General features: G+C 36.0%; 1 long non-coding RNA gene across 1 annotated transcript in view, besides 2 other annotated features; it reads left to right on the top strand.

The window, feature by feature from the left end:
• Nucleotides 345-639: an enhancer, noted in NCBI's record as "tiled region #14654; K562 Activating DNase unmatched - State 6:EnhF". NCBI's record gives its function as "activates a minimal TATA promoter and a strong SV40 promoter by Sharpr-MPRA in K562 cells {active_cell/tissue: K562}" and the evidence as "EXISTENCE:reporter gene assay evidence [ECO:0000049][PMID:27701403]".
• Nucleotides 15,612-15,812: a silencer, noted in NCBI's record as "peak1870 fragment used in MPRA reporter construct". NCBI's record gives its function as "represses an SCP1 promoter by STARR-seq MPRAs in K562 erythroleukemia cells {active_cell/tissue: K562}" and the evidence as "EXISTENCE:reporter gene assay evidence [ECO:0000049][PMID:32103011]".
• The window catches only part of LOC124902978 (uncharacterized), a 39,971-nt gene continuing 32,472 nt past the window's right edge, over nt 15,732-23,230 (top strand). The window contains exon 1 of the long non-coding RNA XR_007063396.1: nt 15,732-15,961. This is a non-coding gene — a long non-coding RNA (uncharacterized LOC124902978). The remainder of the gene's footprint in view (nt 15,962-23,230) is intronic.

Genomic DNA, 23,230 nt, shown 5'->3' with positions numbered 1-23,230 from the left:
ATCTCCTGACCTCGTGATCCGCCCGCCTCGGCCTCTCAAAGTGCTGGGATTGCAGGCGTGAGCCACCGCGCCCGGCCTGTTATATTCTTATCTGTGCCTAAAGCAGGATGTCTGCAATCTCTTCATTGTTATAGTCTGTTGTAACAGTTTCTTCCTACTGGGGAGATGGGTCCTTATGCTAACCTGTCTAGGCCCACTTGTATTGCTTTTAGCCGCCTGCAAATAATCATGCCCATTTGCTAACTGCCTGCCTCATTGAAATGCAAAGAAAGTAAATGCATATAGTTGCCCACTATCTTGAATCAAATTTACATTTTGTGTCCCCAGATGTAACTCATAATCTCACATTCCACCAAACGCCCATACATACAGAGGCAGTTAACTTTTCTACGCTTTTTATTTGCAGTGCTTTTGGCTTTCATTTTACACTGTCATGGTCACAAACTTAGTCAAAGCCTGCATGCATAAGGATTTTAGTAGTTCCCTGTTTTACTTATGCCTAGTCATTTCCTCCCCCAGATGTCTCAGCATATCACCCAGGGCTGCAGCATGATTTCTGTGGGCCACAAACACTTTTCCCCTGTCCAGGAAAAAAATTAAAAATTAGATTTTATGATTCTATTGCTATAAAGATAAACATAATCTAGTCTGTATTCATTATTAAGTATTAATTATTACGATTATATTCATTTGTCCTTCTCACTTAAAATATTATAAAACATTTGAAATGTGCTAAATGTACTTTGGGCTCTAGAGACTGTGCCTACTGTGCTTAATGGATAACTTAGCTCTGATAATATCCCTAGCTTAATCTTCACAAAAACGTCCTTTCCTTTATGTCAGCGCATGTGCCTGCACACAGGTGCGTGTGTGTGTATAAATACCATCGGCTCTCTACTACGTGTAAGATAAGCAGATTTTGAAAATATCCTTCCCAGTCAATATTGAAATCCATCATAATTCATTCTCAATTATTTTTCTAGGCAGACCTCTCATAGCTTTTCATCCTGTTCTCTACCCTAGTTAACTTTCTGACCTCCTGAACAGGATTAGAACGTTATGACTTCTATTCATATGCCCCTGGTGCTCCTTGGGTGTAAACCCCAACCCCAGCCCCCAGCTTCTGCCTTACTTACCAACCTTATTGACTCTGGAGTCAGTATCTATGTTCACACTTACTAGCTTATACAAGTCATATAACCTTAATTTGCCTCCATTTTGTCAACTATAGTATGTGGGAAATAATAGCTCCTACTAAAAGGGTATGGAAGGATTAATGCAATGATTAAAAACAAAAAGTAATACTTATTGAGCATTTACCACGTGCCATGTACTCATCTAAGTATTCCGCATACTATTTGTGTAAACAGCTTAACACAGTGCCTGGCATGAAGAAAGTATTCAGTTTAAAAATTATGTTATTTTCCTATAATATTACTCTATATGGCAAATGCTGCTAAAAAACAAAACTTTCTCTAGAACTTCAGCCACAGGAGTAGCTTTCTCCTCTGACTCCTGTAATATATATCATGTACACTCTTCATTTGGTAGTTGTCACATACTACTTAAAAACAGGAATATTGCTTATAAGTCATCTTTGCATACCTTGTACAATTTGCCACAGAGCCTTGCAAATTGCAGAAGTCCACTATATATTTGTTGATTGATTGCTTAATTGATTATATGATTTCTTCATGTCCGGCAGCCAAAAGTCCACTCAGCTGACATATATTGGGAGAAACGGTGAAGTCAGCAGCAAGGTCAGCAGTGAGGTCAGCAGCAAGGTCAGCAGCGAGGTCAACAGCAGCCCATCCTAAACGAAAAACCAGCTTGCAATTTTCCATTCATCGAGCTCTACTATTAGCAACTCTTCCACCTCTATATTAGTGTGGAATCAAATCTGGAATTGTGCATAGTCTCTTATGTGGCTACTGGAAAACTGTTTTTCTACCATCTTTGTAGTGCTAAGCAAAGCCACCTGAGAGGAGAGGGCAAGTGGCAGATTTAGTAATACAATTTGCCCCTTACAGAGTATAATTTGGCACCAAAATAATTCCCTTAATCAGAAGACACAGAAGTTGAAATACCACTATTAGTCATCGGTATCACCAAAGATTATTTTGAGTTTCTGCCTTTGGGGTAGTTATAAAGTCTCAGAGACGTCTAACAGACAAATTTTTCTGAAAACACTAATGATTTGTTTTCTCCTGGATGTGTGGAGCGGAGCACTGAGAACTGGGGCAGGCAGGGAGGTCAGAGGGCTTCATAAGAGAGAAGTGAGTTCAGCAGAAGATAGGCCTTGCATACTTCACCATCTGGTTTTGCTCACTGGTCACATGCCTCTTTGGAGTACAATGCAATCTAGCAGTTCTAAAACACAGGCCGTAGGCCAGAAGTTCCAGACCAAAGTTAGTAACTATGATCCCAAACTTCTTACTTTCTATGAAAACAATAAATATGGCTTTGGCTGCTGTAGATTGAAAGCATTAGGAATACTCAGACAACTTCCTCTGAATTCTTTTCACCTCTAGCTATAAAATTTTGAACAACATTTTATCATATTTTCACTAGATGTATGTAAAAACTAATTATTATTGACTGTTCTTTGCAAAATTTCTAAAGCAATGGACTGTATATTTGGTAATACTACTTGCCTCTATTATCTTGATAGCCACAAATCTTGTTTCTACTCTCTTGTGTTCAAATTCCCTCCAAAGACAGTCTAACCACCAGGTTTGTGTATGGATACAGTGCAAGCAGACAAGCTCAGAAACAGCCACCACTGAGAGGTGTTATGTGAAGGAGATATTTTATTGCAGTGACAGAAAATAAGGTGTGAGAGTAACACAGGTTTGGGTAGAATGTTGGCCCCATGCTTTGTGCCCTTGCACAAACCTTACAACTACTTAGAACTTCAATCATTCTATCCATCAATAGGAAAGCAATATATAACTTAGAGTGGCCTATGAGGATTAAATAGAATTATGATTGTGGAGCCCCTGGAGCAGTGTCTGGGATAGTTTCTTCATATATAGTGGTGGTGGTGTCTGTAGCAGCTTCCTTTAAGATTCTGCGAGGGTCTATAGGGAATGTCAAGGTGTAAGTAAGTCCCACTGCTCAAAAGGCTCCTGGACTAGCAGAGGAGATAATCACCATAAAAGGAAGATGCAGGAAGATGTTTACGTCTCTAATACTCAGAAATTGTTCCATGGAGTTGTTCATAACAGAGCCGAAACTCAACTGATAACCTGTTGTCTCATGGACTTCGGTTTTTCTAGACTGAATCAAGAGACAGCTGCAGCTTCCAGAGATAACCAGGGCCACCTCAATAGCTATGGTACCTCAGGGACCTTCCAGATGTTTCCATATCTCTGCCTGTGTTTGGTAACAAGCAGCTCCAGTGTCACAGGCAGCAGCTCACTGTGGCAACAAGGCACTATGGTGGATACCAATTACTTTCCAATACATCGTAATTAATCTGTTGCTAGTAACAGTTAAAGTTAAGTAAATGATTAACTTTTCTGCTGCCACTAGGGAGCAGACAGTCCTTGACCATATTACTAGGTTTCTTCCTGCCACCCTTCTTACCACTATTATAGCCCTCAGCATGTATGCAGAGTGTCACTGGCCACATACAGTGACTGCCATGTACAGGATAGCTACAGTAACAGAAGTCGCTAGTTAGAATTGAATTTCCAAACAGAAGTTTTAAAAAGCTCTAATCAAGCAGGGCGCAGTGGCTCACGCCTGTAATCCCAGCACTTTGGGAGGCCGAGGCAGGTGGATCACGAGGTCAGGAGATCGAGACTAGCCTCGCTAACACAGAGAAACTCCATCTCTACAACAAAATACAAAAAAAAAAAAAAAAAAAAAAAAAAAAAAAAGTTAACCGGGCGTGGTGGTGGGTGCCTGTAGTCCCAGGAGGCAGAGATTGCAGTGAGATGAGATTGTGCCACTGCACTCCAGGCTGGGTGACAGAGCAAGACTCCGTCTCAAAAAAAATAAATAAAATAAATAAAAAATAAAAATAAAAAGCTCCAATCGAAAATATTAGTTTGAAAGTTAGAAAGTCAGGTCCTGGTGGCCCAGAAAAACATGGTTAGAATTTCCATCCTGCTTTGTAGAGTTTGGCCTGGGAAGAGTGGATGTTTCTGACAGAGCGATAGAGAAGCAGTGGTGGAGTGAAGTGTCCAGGAAGCTGGACTGGAAGTCTGTGCCACTGAATCCTGGAACATCCCAGCCTGTAAATACTGCAAAAATATTTCTGAAACCTACAAAGGAAGTGTGCAGTTACTGACTGAGCTGGTGGCATCTCATGAAGACGAAAGGCAAAATCAACAGTTATGTGGCTGCAGCAGAGCAGAGAATACTATATACAGATAAGAATAAAAATGTCACTCATTTAGGGCTTGACAAGCAAAGAGCATTGTACTAAGTGCTTTCACATGTTATTTTTTTAAGTTAAGACATCAAGTGCAGTAGTGAAAATGGGGAAAGAGTAGGACAAGGAGTTTGATCTGTAATTGACTGAATAATCAATTGAGATAACTCACTACCTTCGGACCATCTACATATGTTATCTATTGACTCTTCACAGTAATCCTTCAAAGTAGCTGCTATTACCCCCTTTTTTACAGGTGAAAAAGCACCAAAAAATAAAAAGGTTAAGCAACCAGCCTGTGGCAGATAAGTAATAACAGAGTTAACATAGAGTTAACATCAGACACAAGGGTCTGGTTCAGGAACTTGCTCTCAATAACATCAGAACAATATCCCCAGGAACAAGGATTAATTCAGGGACACATCAGGGAAGAAGGAATGAAAAAGACTTGGATGGACTGAATTTGCTTAAAAGAGTATGCATTTTAAGTTACATGTGGCTAAGGTTCCTTGAAAAGGTAAGATGGGCCCATGAGCTAAGTAGCAGACAAGAGTACCATATTTTTGGAAAACCTAATTCTTGACTGTGAAAGTTCACACTTGCTATACCTATAATGTTATTTTTTTCTCATTTTATCTCATTTGCTGTCTTATTATGTATGACTCCCTACTTCATTATATTTTTTAGTTGTGACTTTAGGGTTTATAGTATATATCTTTAAGTTATTATGGTCTACCTTCAAGTGATACTATTCTTTTTTTTTTTTTTTGAGAGAGTCTCACTCTGTCTCCAGGCTGGAGTGCAGTGGCGTGATCTTGGCTTACTGCAACCTCCACCTCCCAGGTTCAAGCGATTCTCCTGCCTCAGCCTCCCAAGTAGCTGGGACTATTAGCGTGCACCACCACGCTCAGCTAATTTTTATATTTTTAGTAGAGACGGGGTTTCACCATGTTGGCCAGGACGGTCTCAATCTCTTGACCTCATGATCCACCTGCCTCGGCCTCCGAAAGTGCTGGGATTACAGGTGTGAGCTACCGTGCCCGGTGTAAGTATCATATAACAGCATACTTACATGTTACTTCTGCATGTGTTTTAACCCTTACGATACATTGTTACTACTTTTGCTTTAAACAATTAGCTTTTAAAGAGATTTTTAAAACAAAAGGAAAAAATGTCATTTATGTTTACTCATATATTTACCATTTCCTGTGCTCATCAATTGAATGCAGCTTTCCATCTCATATCATTTTTCTTCTCCTGGAGGAACCACTGTTGACATTTCTGCTGATGATCAATCATTTTATTGTTTTCTATATCGAAGGATGTCTTTTGCTTTCCTTTTTCAAATGTATTTGTGCTGTCTATAGAATTTTATGTTCATGGGATTTCTTTTTTCTTTCAATAGTTTAAAGATGTTTCACTATCTTCTGGCTCACATTGTTTCCAAGAAGAAATCTGTTGTCTTTCATCTTTCTTCCCACTCTGTACATAATGTATTTTCCCCTTCTGGCTGCTTTTATTTATTTGTTTATTTTATTTTATTTTATTTATTTATTTATTTTGAGACAGAGTCTCACTCTGTCAACCTGTTTGAAGTGCAGTGGTGTGATCTCGGCTCACTGCAACCTCCACCTCCTGGGTTCAAGTGATTCTCCTGCCTTAGCCTCCTGAGTAGCTGGGACTACAGGCATGTGCCACCAGGCCCAACTAACTTTTGTATTTTTAGCAGAGATGGGGTTTCACCATGTTGGCCAGGCTGGTCTCGAACTCCTGGCCTGAACTCATGTGCTCGCCTCAACCTCCCAAAGTGCTGAGATTATAGGTGAGCCACTGTGTCCAGCCCCTCTGGCTGCTTTTAAGATTTTCTTTTTATCACCACTTTTAAACTATTTGATTACGGTGTACCTTAGCAAAGTTTTCTTCTTATTTCTTGTACTCAGCATGCATTGACCTTCTTGGATCTATCAGTTTATAGTGTTTATCAAAATTGGAGAATTTTAGACCATAATTTTTCAAATATTTTTCTGTTCCTCTTCTTTCCCTTCTCATTGAGGGACTCCAATTTCACATATGTTAGGCCACTGGAAGTTGTCTCACACCTCTCTGATGCTCTGTCCATTTGTTTTCTAGTCTTTTATCCTCTCTTTAATTTTGGACATGTTTAATTGTTATGTCTTCAGGTTACTCATCTTTTCTTGTGGAGTGTCTAATTTGCTGTTAATCTCATTAAATGTTATTTTCACCTCAGATATTTTTAGGACTTCAATCTGGGTCTTGTTTACATGTTCAATCTTTCCTCTAGCTTCTTAAACACATAAAATGTCTATAATTATATAAAATAGTTACAATAACAGTTGTAATGCCCTTGCTTAATAATCATATCATTTGTGCAACTTCTGGATATGTTTCTATTGGTAGGTTTTCATCCACATTGTGAATCATTTCCATTTATTTGCATTGCTGGTAATTTTTTATTGAATGCTAGACATGGTAGTAAATTTTACCTTTGGGGGTACTGGATATTTTTATATTCCTATACATATTATCTGAGTCTTCATCTGAGATTCAGTTATTTATAAATAAATTCTAGTGTTTTATCGCACTGTAGGGTGACTATAGTTAATGATAATACATTGTATATTTTTAAATAGCTAGAGGAAAGGATTTTGAGTGTCTCCAAACAAATGACAAATGGATAAGCTAATTACTCTAACTGGTTATTATATTTTATATACATGTATTGAAATACCACTCTGTACCCCATAAATATGTATAATTAAGTTAAAGCCAAAATTAAAAATTAAAAACCAGAAAAAATTAGTTTGAATCTTCTGAGCCTTGCTTTAAAGCTTTGTTAGGCAGGAACAGAATAGCCTATAGTCTAGGGCTGATCCTGTCCCACCATTAAGGCAATACACTTCTGATTTCCTGATGTGCTGTGAATTGCGACATTTTCCACACTGGCTGTTGGGAAGACAAGCTTTTCCTGGGCCTTTGCAAGTTCCAAGAGTTGTTCCCCTGCTCCTTTTTGTTGGGTGGTGCCTCCACAAATTTGAAGAATTTCCTTCTTACATGTGCTGATTAGTAATGAGCTGAAGACTGGAGGGTGACCCTCTGCAGATCACTGGAGCTTTCTTACTCTCTACAATTTTCTCCTTTCTGGGACTTTGTCCTCAAAACCCTAACCAACTTGCCTTCCCCATACTCCTGCCTCTGTCTCCTCAACTCTGGGAGAGCTCTAAGCTCCACTTGGGTTTTCTCTCTCTTCATGGCATCATGAAAACTCTCTCTAGGCTGTAAGTTGGGGATCATTGTTCTGCATTACTTGGTGTCCAATGCCTGAACATAAATGTTTTATTTTTTGCTGGGTTGTTAGTAGTTTCCAGTAAGAGAGTAAATTCAATATCTTTTATTCCACCTTAGCTGAAAGCAAAAATCCTCCCCAATAATGCCACTTCTAATCCATTTTAGTCCTTCCCAATGGGAAAGGAAAGATGTTACATGCAGATGAAATACTCCCAATTTTAACTATGCATGTGCTATATATTGCACAAATGAACTTGTTGCAGCATATGCAGAGAGGCGAAAAAATAAAAGTTAGCCGCTGGAGTCAATGGTTGTTTTGTTATCTCTTTGAGCATCGTGCATCTAACTATAGAGTCTAACACTATCAGGGCCTTACTTCCAACCATAAGTTGTAATATTTATCCTGACATTTTGCCCTAACCGGCATTCATATTTGGTTATACAAATTCTTTCGTGTAGATGTCACATAATATCTTTCTACAAAATAATTTTGTAGAAAGTCTTTATTACTGACTGTATATATTATTAACCTAATTCAATAGCATGTACATTCTCTAAGGATTTACTAATGGGGTTTGACATACATCCTCCTTCATTACACCTTGTGTCAATTCATGGGCAACAGTGTCTTTAGACAATATTTTGATGCACTTGTAACTTCGATTTTTAGCTAAGTGAAAGGGAACTCCTTTTTAAAAACTAGTGGTTTCTGCAAAGAGTACAGAGAAGCTTAGCAGCCAAAGCACTTGTCAGTTATTCTTTTATACACTACAAGGGATTCATTTGATTCAATGGACTTAACTGAAGCAGAATATCTTTCATTTCAATGAATCCGATTTTATTAAGCCATAATTGTTAATTTTCCTGTAATTCTTCAAGCTACTGTATCATATTTGTGACATAGGTTTAACTATGTCATGAGAAAACTATTTTCTCCTTAAACTTTATTATGTAAAAATTTATTCCATTATTGAATATACTTTTATTACATATTAAAGTTAACTTTTAAATTAAAGCCAAGGAAGACTGTTTCAGCTCTGTAGAAAGAGGATTTAATAACAATCAATGGTAATATTTATTGAGCATTCACTATACACTCTGCATGTTATTAAAGGCTGTACATTCTTGTTCTGAATACTTATTTTGCAAAAACTCACTACAATTACATTTATAAACCTGTTATATATAAAAATCCAATGCCCGAAGACTTCTGTACATGCATCCATTTTTAACTCATTTCCCAATGTTTGAGTTCCGGCTGTTGCTATGTGTTAGGAAAGAGTGTAGTTATATGTAATCCTGGCTCCACTGCTTATTAATTTATGTGTTTTATGTCAGATACTGTTGCTGATGACATATAGATATTCATTTATATATAATTCTGTGAGTAATCATGTGAGGTGGCTACTATTAATTAAAGTAACTAAGCGATGTCCTAGTCAATGTTAGTGCTTAGATTTGAACTAGGCCATTGACATCTGTGCCTTGGACCAGAATAATAATGGCTAGTCCTGTTGAATATGTACTTTGTGTTAGGCGCTGTTCCAAGTGCTTTACGTACATTAACTCATTTAATCTTTACAACAGCTCTATAAGGTAAATACAAACATTAACCCCATTTTACGAATGAGGACACTGAAGCCCCAAGAGGTAAAGTAACTGTCCCAAATCATATGATTGAGAAGGGCAGAACCCCAGTCCAGACAGTCCCACTCCCTAGGCCGTGCTCTCCACCACAGTGCTTGCCTGCCTCCCTGAGCACGTTCCCTCCTTCCTCTAATGACTGCTGTACCTTGCATCAAATGGAATGGGCAGCCTCACTGTGTCTATCCTATTGGTGAGGTAAAGGCAAAGATTAAAAGCAAAGGATAATATGATATCACTATGTCCAAGCCAATCCCATAATCATAGAATTTTAAAATCTTAGATATTGTTTAATGCAATCTCTTCATTTTACTTATGAAGAAATTGAGCCCCAGCTAGGTTAAAAGTTTTGCCTAAGGTTAAATATAGATTTCAGATTTTTGTCAAGGCAGGACATTTGGCAGAGTGCTGGGTTCACTTGTACAACAAATATTGAATGCTCTTGCTCAACAAATATTTGCAGAATTGAATTGAAACCTGGAGTCTTTCTTGAGACTAAATTAGTGCAAAGCACCGTAGTTAGAAATGCTTTATAGATCTTGGTAGTGTTCACCGGCTTCTGCACCTAAGTAGTGGTTTTTCTAGAAACATGTTTAATAAATAATGGAGTCACAATGCTTACTGTTGCACTGATGTTCCCACACAATTTTCCATTGAGTTAACCTGGAGTTGTTTTATTTTTGTGTGATAGCCTTAAATCTCCACCATAGCAGAGAGGCTGCATTTTCAGAACAGCTGCTCCCAAGTTTAACAGATTCAAATCTATTGATTTTTTTTTTTGACAAGGTAAAGGGTATTACTGTACATTCAAGATAGACATGTGCTGAACTTTACTCCAGTAAAGTAGGGGAAATGTTTCAGAAAAGTTGGACCAGAAAAGCCATTCAAAAAGCCCAGCAAATTGAAACAATCTAAAAAAATAATTTAATAGAAAAGTTTTATTCTTCAGCAAGCATTGATATAATTTTCTCATGTAGGTAGCATATATTGATCTGAATGCTAATTTTTTTCTTTTTCTTTTTTGCTTATTGACGGAATTAGAAAATGCCTTTACTTTAATTTCTATGAAACTCAAGTGGTTTTAAAGATGTTTTAGATTATTATAATCAGATTACTTTCCCCTATCTTAATTAATATATTTTTTCAAATATTTACCTAATGAATAGTATCTTAGCATGGATGCACTCATATACAGTCTAAGTAAATAGAATATGGTTACATTAGTTTATTTTTGTTTCCTTGCAGACTATAGAATGGATATGATGTTATTTCAGCACAGCTTTAAAAACTGGAATTAGAGAACAGAATCTTAGTAACTCAAACATTTTAAAGTCTTGTCTCTTCTTATAGTCCATCATACCTTTAAGAAACATAGTTCATTTTAATCATAAATTTCAGAAGGATTTTAAAGTTACTGTTCCATCACTTAAAACATGTCCAGATTTTACTGGTCACCAATATTTTCATAGGTTTTGTTATCCAAAAATAGCAAAAAATACTACTAATAATACTCATATATACTAATCATACTAATGCATAAAGTACTATGCTATTTAAAGTAGTTTTTTTTTATAGGTAATGGTTTAAATTGTGGGAATGTAATGCTTCTGTCCTAGGGCTTTTTGGACAAAAAAAAAATGCTTGACTTCCATAAATAATATTTTTAACTTTTTCCCCGAAGATTTACTTTGAGTTTACTTGCTTTTTTTAAAAGATAGGTAAGTTATTTTGCACTATGTTGTAAGGAACTATAGTTTTTTATATAAAACGTTTTAATTTTAATTTTAATATAATTTGTCTAAATTCATTATATATAGTTTTTAATAATTCTTACTTTTTTTTCAAAACACATGACAAAAACATACCAGTGATGTGGCAAAATTTGATTAGGCAACTTACCAGTAAAGAAAATCTTCAAAGACAGTCTTGTATGCTTTTAATTTAGAATGGCAGGCTGTAAACCTCTGTGGCTATGAGCTCACAAGAGTTGTTAATTCATCAACCTGTTATTTGGTCAAATTGTTTTCTGAAAATTTCTGTGATAAATTGCAATAGAAACATACTATTGTTAAATTTAGAGACAAGATTTAAAAAATTATTACCCACCTCCCCCTCCCCATTCTTCAAATTGCTTGATTATCATGGAAGGTAGATTATTTGTCCTCTGAAAGCAAATGATGTTGAGTAAAAAATAAATGCAACCGTTTTATCAAATGGTTATTAACAGTGACCCTTTGTTCAGTTTAACATATTTGTAACAAAACAGGCACTGGGAGGAAATGCTTATTCCTTTAATAGAACCAGGATTAATAACATGAAAAACCCCAGCAAGTATAGAAAAACAACTTCTTAATGATATATAATTAATAAAGTATGCAAACTTATAACTCCTCCTTTAAGATGAGTTTGCCACTCATTAACTTCTACCAATAAGCTATTAGGCATGTAAAACTGTTTTGATAGGTCAATTTTTAAGACTTTCATTTGACTGATGACTGATGGCTTCACCAAGTTCATCTAATATACTAACATAGGACAAAACAAAAACTAGTATTTTGGAGAACTAAGAGTGAAATACATAACATATCATTTTATGTTCTCAAAAAATGAAGTTTAAATGTAATAGGTGCTTTAATCAAGAGAAATAAAAACCTGTTAGTTAAATAAACAAGTAACTATGTTACTGATTGAACTATCAGTACAATTATTGATCTTGATATATTTAGAAGTTAATTCATGACATCCAGATTTAATGACAATGTAAATTAAATGAACAAAAGTTCCAATCCCTTCAGTTTTTAAGGTTTTTGAATAACATTTTATTTTAAAGGTAGAAAACAAAATTATTTTTAAAATAAGCATATTTATATTTACATGATTTAAAAATGTTAATTATTGTAATAATAAGGATCACAAGTCATGCCAACAAATTTTCCCATTTTAGTATGTAATTCTTTGTTTTTTTCTAAAAGTGATATATAAAATTGAATTTCTGCACCGAAGAATATAATTAGAAACATGCCTTTTCACAGATGTGGACAGTGAGATGTAGAATACTGAGCCAAAACAACATGACCAAGGAGACATACACTTCTCAGTGGCAGGAGAGTATCTGACAGCAATAAAGGTTTACATGAATGAATATTTATTATGTCCCTAAGCACTTTACATGGATTATCTATGGTATAAGTAATAGTATTACCTCATTTTACAGAGGAGGAAACTGAGGCACTGAGTAGTACTTGCCTAAAGTGGTAGAGTGGAGCCTGAACCCAGGCACTTTCTTATTCTTAACAGTCATCATATCTTGTTTAAGGCTTTTCTACTTTGAATGGAATGTTAACTCTTTTATGGGAGGAACCACATCTAATATTTCTAACATATTTTTCAAATTGCCTTTCCTAGAACTGGTGCCTTGTAGATGTGCAATAACAATTTGTTTCTTAATTGATATTAGCGTCATCTAGGTACATAAGCAAAAACTCACTATGAAGATCATAGTTCAATTTCTAAAAAATGGCCTCACTGAAATGTATAATGTTACTTAAGTTTATCTCTTTAACATAACTATTGGGTGCTTTAAAAAATATCTGAAAGTGTAGCTGCACCAGAAACTTTCTGGAAACAATGGATATAAAACTTGCTTTAAGAAATATAGTGAAGAAGATAGATCTCATGTTAAGTGTTTTGATCACAATAAAAACAAACAAAAAGAAATATAGCAAAACATCAGAGACTAAATATTTTAAGTAATTCAAAATAAATTAAAAAAAATAAAAATTAATAACTAAGCATTATTATTTTATTATAATATTGACTGAATCTAAATTAAATGTCTGATATCCAAACTTCATTGAAATGGCTACCTGGAATAGTTCTGAAATTTGGGGCTGTTGTGAAATTTGCTATAAAGTATAATGTTTAAAAAAAAAGTACTTCCAACATGGTAGAATCATTTGTGCCCAAATCTCTTCTCCACCATCCTACTGTTGCCATGCATATGCCATCAAATTAGACTAAAATTCTCACTGTATACATAACTAAAAGATTCCATTGTAGAGTTAAGGAGTGGAAGGAGAGGGAAGAATGCAGGCTGAGAAAAAAGGAATCAGTATCTCTTAAAAGCAGTCAAAACATCTACATCATCAGAGAGCAGTCCTGTCTGCCTTTTTTGTTAGAGCATTGATTCATCATAGAAGCTAAAAGACACCTTCAGACATTAGAGAAGGATCTACTGGTCAGATAAGTTACTGTGGACCTTGGGGGAAGTAGATGATATCACTCCTGCCCAGGATGTTGGAACTAGGATAGAAATGGCTTGGGATGTGTTGATAAGTATAGCTCAACTGGAGCCAGTTTTTACCTACTGCATTCTTCCTTAGCCCAAAGGAAAGTAGTTATTTCCTAATGGTTTTTCAAAAAAAGTTTAATGTCATTAAATTCACAAAAGTTTTATATTCTAAATATTTGAGCTATTTATTGTATAACCAACCATTCCAAAACATATTGGCTTGAGACTACAATTTATTATTTGTTATGATTTTGCACATGGGCTGGGTCAGAGAGTTGGTTCCTCTACTCCCCAAGGTATCAACTGAGCTGATCATGTGACTAAATTCCACTGGTGGCTCAAATGAGGATGGAACACCAAGATGGCCCCACTCACATTGTATGGCAGTTGATGCTGACTGCTGTGTGTGGTGCCTCTCATCCTCCAGGGCCTTTCTTCCCATGTTACTTCCCCAGGTGCATAACCCAGGCTTCCTTACATGGTAGCTGGCTTCTGAGAGAGGTCAAGATGAGGAACTGCACAGCATCTTAAGGACTAGGCCTGAGAGTTACATATGTCCCCTCTACAACATTCTATGAGTTAAGGCAAGTCACCAGGGCCAACTCAGATTCAGTGAGTCTGATGAGATCAATAGAGAAGTCATATTGAAAAAGGACTTGTAGGATGGGAGGGCTTGTTGCTTTCATCTTTGGAACACTCCCATACCAAATAAAAGTAGTTGTGCAATAAATCTGAACTCTAGTTCAATACTATGCATGACTGTTTCCCTGTGGGGAATAGGATGAGTAATGATTTAGTCAGATGAGCATCTGCTTTCCATTGATGCAGTTCATTTTATTATGCAAATTCAGTGAATACAAAAGATATCTTCTTAGCCTTTGCATAAAAGTTTACTCTGAAGAGATCAGATAGGTCATTGAAGGCCCTCAATTCACTCATTTCTTCTTCTAATGAGTAAATACTGATAGACCACAAATTATAGGCTGTGTCAAGGGAAAAATCGAGGTCTGGCTAAAATTTTTATTACCTTGGTATGGCTTAGTGTTAATTTTCTCTAGCCAAAGTCATTAAATGAGCTAATATACCTATTTTGTATCACTAGGAAAATTTAAAATCAATAACTAGAAAAACAAAATAAAGCAAATAAAAGGCACTTTTTATGTATAATTATAGATTAAAATTAGGTGCATTTTTGTATGTGTTTTGTTTTTTGGCTGTTCATGATCTAAATCTGTTCATATGTCAAAGAATCCCTCATTATTCACATTTTGGTGGGGAGCGAAACTCAGCCTTCCCCTTGGCAGTTGACAAGGGTTACATATTATCTCTCCTGGCCATTAATGGCTGGATTGTTGGCACATGACCTAGGCCTGGCACAGACACACCAGCTCTAGAGGAAGTATGCAAAGATGCATACTTTCACTTAGAAATTGCTCATGGTGATGAGGATAAAGTGCAGAAACCCTGGGCATGTCCTTAGCTGAAGATGAATGAGGATGATCCAGGGTGAGGATGCCCCCAGACCATGCCTAGGTGTCCTGCTGCCCAGCTCCTTTAATTCCTGAGAAGTTTTTTAGCCTCAGGGGTTTTCTGAGTCTGGTTGTTTGGCCTTCCAATCTCATTTCAATAAATTATTTCTCTGCTTAAGTTATTTAGAACCAAGTAATATTGTAGTTTTACAACTATAAATTGTTCCACCTGACTAGGCAGGTGGAAAGTTTATTCATTTTACAAATAGTTATTGAAGAATTAATATGTAACAGGCACTGTACATACAGCATTAAAATAAATAAATAAATAGACAAAATCTTCTCCCCTCACAGAGCTGCGTTCTAGTCAGGGATCTGGGACAACACAACAGGAAGAAAACAAATAACAAATAAACAAGTCAAATGTACAGTATGTGATATTTACTATGGAATGCTCTGGAGAAAATGAAGCAGGGAAGGGGGACAGAGTGTTGGGGAGGGGCATTCGGTCAATGGGGGTTTTGACATTTTAAATAGCATGATTACAGGGCCTTCACCGAGAAGATAGCAGTTGAGCAAGGGAAGTAACTAACGGCTGAGTCAGAAGTGTGCCTGATGTTTCTGTGAAGAGAAGGAAGCCAGTGTGATTGGAGTAGCAGAAGAGACTAGAAGATGGGGATGAAGAAGGAATCGGGTGAGAGCAAAGGAAGGCCGTGAAGCCATTGTCAGAAATTTGTCCTTTATCCTGACTGAGCAGAAGAAACACTGAAGGATTTTGAGCAGAGGCATGTCTTGATTTCATTTCATTTTTAGAGGTATAGATAATTCAGGCTGCTATTTTGAGACTCGACTGAGAAGAGGTGTGTACTGGTAAGTGTAAAAGTGGAGAGACCACTAAATTACCTCAATACTTCCGGTTAACAGATATTAGGGACTTGGTCTAGAAACAGTGAGAATCGGATTTGTTTATTTGTTTTTTCCACTCTGGTTGCTTTTAATGTTAATTTAGTGAGTTTAGGAAATTAACAGTGGCTAGCTTAGTTTATAAAGCCTTTCTTAAGCCAATGTTTTCCCAAGAATCGATTTCTTATTAAAGAATACACTATAGTAATATATTTTCCTGTTCACTTTCTGGTTTTTGTCTTAAGGCTCCTGGACACACCGCCAAACTGTAGGGCTGGCTGGTATAGAAAGCAAATGCCCATGTGGCATCATTTTGGCTCCCTTAGAGAAACTCTCTGACTTGGGCTGAAATTCCCAAAACAAGGAAGTTATTACTCTGGAGTAAGGTCTTGAGAATGTATAACTTTGTACATGTACATGATCTAATAATTTATATTTGAATCACTAGAAACACATTAGTTCAAATTATGTAATGCCCAGAGGGCATTACAGATGAGGTTTAGGAAGAAAGGGGGAGAAAAGAAAAATTTCCAAAGGAGGACTTCTATGCAGTAAGAATATGGCTGGTGCAAATAAAAGAGGCCCAACAGGCATTTTGAAATTTTCAATATTCAGGCTAATGAGAAAGCGGTCCCCTCATTTGGGAGAGCAAAGAGAAAGAGAAACCACCAGGAAAATCTTACATCTTCCAAAATATCATCTAGAAAAGGGCTATCACACACAAATAAACCAATGTTACTTGCCAGGATCTCAGAATTTGCTGAAACAAATCCCTTCAAAAATTCAACCAGTATTGAAAAAGAAATATTATATCCTCTGCCCTTCTTTAGTACTCTCCCTCCCATTTTACAGGGATCCTGTAGAATTTCAAATCGGGAGGACTTGAAAACATTCAGCATTTACTAGAGGCAGATTTCAAAATCATTCCAGCCAAAGTGGAACTTGTGAGAAACTAGAGGATTGAGGACCAGGCAAGAGAGCCCTAATGAAGATGGAATGTGTGGTGGAAAGTCTTGCAGTCATGTAGTCTCCAAATAATATTTGCAAAGCTAAGTTTCTATTTGTGAACCCACATTTAATTATAGCTGAGAATACGTATGCCTCGGCCTTCTTACCCTAAAAGAAACATATCTAAAATTATTCTTAGTTTTTTGAATGTCTCGCAACAAAAATTGTCTTTGTGATCAATCCTTACTTCTTATGGTGCTTTCCACGGTCTCAGAACAGACATACCTGCCTACACTCTCCCTGCCAGATTGAAATACTAACTCAGTCAGTCAATATTTGCTGTACAGAGAGGCAGTGTAATGTGATAGAATGGCAGAAAATGAGTAAGTGGAGATACACAGGTGCTTCAGGCACAGGCGCAGGGATTCAAACTCTGACTTCTGTACATAAGAACTTTGGGACACTGGACAAGTCCCTCCATCTTTTTAAGCCTCAGTCTCCTCATCTCTAAAATAAAAGAATAATGCTTAGCTAACAGGATGATTATAAGCATCAAAAGGGATCATATCACAAGTACCTGGCACAATGTTGTTCAGTTAGGATGCATGTGACCGCCAGAAACAAAATTTTCAACAGCAAATGACTTCAACTCGAGGAATTTATTTTTATCCAAGAACAATAAATGCAGAGGCAGGGATTCTCTGGGTTGGTGCAAGAGCTGGATGGCATCAGAGGTGTAGGTCAATTTCTCTGTGATTCTCTTGACTGCAGTAGCTCCAGCTGTAACAGCCTTATATGACAATGTCCAAAGCAGAAGTGTGGGCATTTATCTTTGAATGTCTCTTATCAGGGAGAATCCTTCCCAGATGGCCAGTAGTATCCCTTCTGACACCAATAGCCTTCACTTGGTTACAAAACTATGTCTGGGTTGGAGGCAAAACTGGGTAAATGAATATTAAGTATTTTTCTTCTTTGTGTGGGGAGGGCAAAAGAAAAACTGGGCAGGACGTGGCAGTTGGGTTGAAAGGTAATGATGACCACTTCATGGTGCTTCACTTAGTAAGCACTTAAAAATGTTAATTCCTTTCCCATTTCTGTTGGCAGTGCAATATATCAGGTGCTGGCAGACACTTCCAGACCGCTCTACCTTCTGTCAATATAGCAGTGTGCTAGATTGCATCCTTTAATACCAAGCTTTCTTCCTGACTTATTACCTAGATTTCTATTTCTGAAATATAACTAAGCTGCCTAATATTAAAAGCAACAATAGCAATAAAAAAAAAACAACAAAGAAAACTGCTTCCTTTTCTTCCCAGGCTTACCTCTGTAGGCACAAGCTATAGTTAAACAAATGTACAGACATGAAAGAAGAGCTGGGGTTCCATGTTATTTTTTTGTCTTGAAATGTCAATAAAAGTGCATGGCTATTTTGATATATTTCCCAGATGGACTTTTCTTTGATATGTGATGTGTTATTTACTGCTCATGCCGGCCATATTCTTTTGCTGCATCTATTTCACATGAGAAGTGATATTTCTGTTGTTTAAAAAAAGGATATTAAGTATTTTTAAATAGATGCCCTTTCCCAGTTGCCATGTGGAAGGGCAAGATAATGGAGAATAGTGATCTGGGAGGAAGAACAGAGCTATTAAAGAGAAAGCATCAAGGAACAGTTAGACTTCAGAAATAGTAAGCTAGAGCCAGTCACTGTATTTAGAAAATGAAACTACTAGTATTTTGCGAAGATCCTAAAAAGAAAGCAAGGTACTCATTAAAATCAATTGATGGAAATGCATGTCTTAGAATCTGTACTTATAAAAGTACATGGACACTTTTAAAAGTAAAACCAAAAAGTAAGATGTGGACATACCAACACAAACAGCATGTGTAAGTGTATTCGGAGAGAGTGAGAAAATAATACAGACCAGACTGGGGACAAAGACTATTACTTTGACTTCAGGTCAAGGTAATAGTGCTTCAATACTTCAGGATTCTCACCAATTCTTTTTTTATTTATGGGAGAGTCTATATTTTATTGTTGATTTATTGATACATAATATTTTACGTATTTATGGGGTACATGTATTTGGTGACATGCATAGCATGTGTAATGATGAAGTCAGGGCATTTGGGGTATTCATCACCTTTAATATTTATCATTTCTGTGTGTTGGTAACATTTCAAGTCCTCTCTTCTACCTAGTTTGAAATATACAATATGTTTTTGCTAACTATAGTCACCCTAGTCTGCTATCATACATTAGAACTTATTTCTTCTATCTAACTACTAATTCTTTAGTGAGAAAAAACTGGAGATTACTCAACAGGACCTGCTGTAACACTATTATAGTTAGTTGCACATGAATCAAAACACTAAAATACATAAATGTAAATGTATGTGTGTGTATATACATAATGAATCTCTTAGCCATTGTTATATTTGCATTGAAGGACATTGCTTAACTATAGGAGTCAAATTTCTGAAAACTAATATGAGAAGAAAAGAAGTACCTTAAGAATTTTGTTTTAATCAGGCTAAATTCTGTTTTAGTGTGCTCCTTTTTCTAATAACACGAGGAATTTATGGTGTCAAAGAAGATATAGTTTTTATTTTTAGGATTGGGAAACTTGAATTTATTGGTAGCAAGGAAAAAGTCCACATTATTTGGTGATTATTTTCAAAATGCTTTCTGCATATTTAGTTTGTTCCTTCAAGTACATTATAAATATCTTAGGTTAGAAAATGATTCCTATTTGTTATTTCAATTCCATGAAGCACTCATTAAAACAGGCTGCATACAAAATTTGCTTAATACATTTTTGGACTGCTTATTATCACTCTGGTACTATGGTTAACTCATTCCTTCTCTTCAGTACGTGCAAGAATAATGTATTACTGTGTGTGTTTACATTGGTTTTACATTATTTCAGACACTACAAAATTAGCTTCTTGCTATATGTCTTATGGATATTCAGTTCTTTGAAAATGTGTTAATTAGCTTGTCCATCAACCACGTTGCCTTAAAGCCCATTGTTAGCAACTTTGGACATCCAATGACCTTTTAAGTAAAAAACCAATGGCCATGATTTATGGTATGTTAGATGCTATATCTAAACAGAGACGAAAAAAATAAAACCTTCGTGATTCTTACATGTCTTTTCCTCATTACTTTGTGTGTGTGTGTGTGTGTGAGAGAGAGAGAGAGTGAGTGTGCACACGTGTATGTGTCTATTTGTGTTTCTAGATTTTTATTCTCCTAAAGTGAACATAAATTTTGCCTGCAGAGGATTATATACCTAGCTGGGCATTCATTCATAGATCCGTTTCATATTAGGCTGAAGCCTTGGAATGCTAGTGGTGATCATCCAAACCTGTAGGATATGACATGCTGAGAGTCATCCATTCACTCCAATCACTTAGGATATCTCAGGGCTAGGTACCACATTACACCACAACCATATGATGAGAGATACAGGGTTTAAACATGGACAACTCCTGTTAAAACCTTTATCAATGTGTTCATCAACTCAGTAACCACAGAGTTCTGTCAACAGCTAAAAAGAGTTTAGAAAAAGAGGAAGAGCTTTGTTTGTTTACTCCTTTGCTGTGTACATCCAAAATACAATGGTGGGAGAAGATTTGTTCTAGTTTTTCCCAAAGATACTCCTTAGGGAATGCACTCAAAAGAACAAAATAGGTTTTCTATGACTCCACAGAAATAGAATCTGTAGTATTATTTTTGCTTAAATGTGATTAGGTGTGAACATTGCTTTGTTATTTGTTTCCTGATTCCAGATTTGGAATAAATAGCCCTTGATACAGGATTTGGAGAAGATTTTGGTATTAATCAATCATAGACTTCAGGAGATGATTTCAATAGGTCCTTTTCTGGAATTCTCATTTCAGTATAGAAACTGTATGGGCAGAATTTTTATTATTATTATTATTATTATTATTATTATTAGCCCTGTATTTGGAACATGTCTTCATTTTAACCTGCTCTAAATCAGCATGCAGGAATTCAAAAGAAACAAAACCACTAACAGCCCCTACTGGCATACACTGCAACTAATTCACAGATCCTGGTCCACATCAGCCTTCACACCTTACACTTTGTACAGTCTACTTTAAATGGACAAACAATCAACAAATCGTACTAGATCAATATTTAGACAAGCAAACTCCAGATAACTACTCTAAGTTCACCAGTGTTTATAGTAACTAAAGCAGCAACATGCATAAAATTGGGCACTGTTTCATGAGTTTGTTTTCTATTAAAAAACACACATACGATGATTGCAAAATGAAATGAAATTTGTTTGTTTTCCTCTTCTGTCTAGCATGGATATCAGCTGAGGGTTTGTTGGCTGTTTCTCATTCAAATGCAATAGAACCATTGTCCTTTGGTTTTCATCTGCTCCAAAAAAAAAAAAAAAAAAAAAAAAGGCCTGATTCTGCACAGTTGTGCGTTAGTATTAGATATATTCATGCCTCAACATACACATCCTTTCCTTTGTGGCAATACACATGTTCTATTTTTCATGAATGAATGTAATAAGGAAGTGATTAAACTCTAGTATCACAGCTAACTTTCCATTCCTATATATACTGCATTGTGCTTTAAAAGGGAAAAAGTTTTACAGACAGAATGCACTGATCCATGTCATGTAAAGGCAATGTCAGTGGAATGAGAGCCCTTGTTGGGAATCCTTTGGTCAGGAGGCAACAGCAAAGTAGTGGGGGCAGGGCCCTTTTCTGAATGCATCATTTTATCTTTTATACTCATTCATCTACACTTGTAGGGAGCACCTCTTCATAAATATCAGTTAACAGCTTAGATAGGAAGACAATGAAAGTGAAGAGCAGAATAGCAAAAATAAATGCCCTCAAGTTATGCTTTCCATCAGCATTTTTGAAAGAAAAATAAGACATATGAGCCCAATTATCTTTGTCAACTAAATACATATGAAAACTCAGAAAAAAAATATTGAATGCTTACAGTTTGCAAAGCTCTGTCCTTGGCTACATGAGAGACAGAGAAAGAAGAAAGTTGAGTCTAGAAGAAAAGGTTAGAATTTGATTATATATTTTCTTGTCCTCCAAGTGTTTCTAATGCTCTGTCATATGCATGTCCTGTCACTTTAGAAAGACAGCAAATTAAACTTTAGAGTAGACCTTGAGTGAATTGCCAAATATTTAATCACAAAGAGAAATAGTATACATTGTTCTAATGAGCACTGTGGAGGCTTCTAAAAACACATCCCAAATGAATAAAGTAAACAAAATATCTTATTTTGCTTTTACTTAATTGGATTTAAAAATTGTATCATTAAGAATGCAGATTTTTAACAAGTCAATCATATGCAATGTAAAATAAAATGCTAATAATCTTCTCCCGCTCCTCATCTTCATGAATTCAGTTTGTACCCTTCTAGAATTTTCTAGGGCATGTCAGTCTGGGAAATTTCTATGGCGGTGGAAATGTTCTGTCCCTACCACTCAGTAAGGTACCATTAGTCATATGCAATTATCAAGCACTGAAAATGTAGCTGATGAGACTGAGAAGTTATATTTTCTATTGTATTTAGCTTTACAAATTTATTTTTTATTTAGTTGTAAATTGACAAATTATACTTGTATATATTTATAGGGTAAAAAGTGATGTTATAATTTATAAATATTTACTCAGTTTTAGTTAATGTAAATTTAATTATTCACATGTGTCTTGTAGCTACCATGTTGGACAACACAGGAGCTAGAGTCTGTAAAAATATATTAAGGTTTCTTGTCATTTTATAAGAAATGAAGCACATTACACAAATTGCTCTGTGACCTAATTTTGTTTTACTTAAAATATGTCATAAACGTTCATCCAATTCACTATGTCTAACTTATTCTTTTTAAATAGATGAATAACTTTTAAATCCACAATTTATTCAGCAATTCTCCTTTTGATTAAAAGGTTTTCTTTGATTATTGCTGTTGTTTGGCCCATTCAAAATGCTTTAAGAGCCCAGTCTTGCACATATAATGGTACAAAGTCTTATTTTTGTGCGTATGATTATATAAACACATCTTGTCAAAGGCATGTACAGTTTTAATTCCAATAGCTATCACTACATTTCTAACAAAATCTTTCCAAACATATTGCAATAATGCACATTCCCATGAGTAATGAATTTGTGGAGTGTGATTTCCTCACACTCTTGCCAGGGCTAGATGTTATTAGGCTATTTATTTTTTGCCAATCTGAGGTCAAAAAACGTATGTCAATTAAGTTTTAATTTG

The sequence above is a fragment of the Homo sapiens genome, chromosome 12 (assembly GCF_000001405.40).
Source record: "Homo sapiens chromosome 12, GRCh38.p14 Primary Assembly".
NCBI lineage: Eukaryota > Metazoa > Chordata > Mammalia > Primates > Hominidae > Homo > Homo sapiens.
This window is presented reverse-complemented; position numbering and strand designations above follow the sequence as displayed.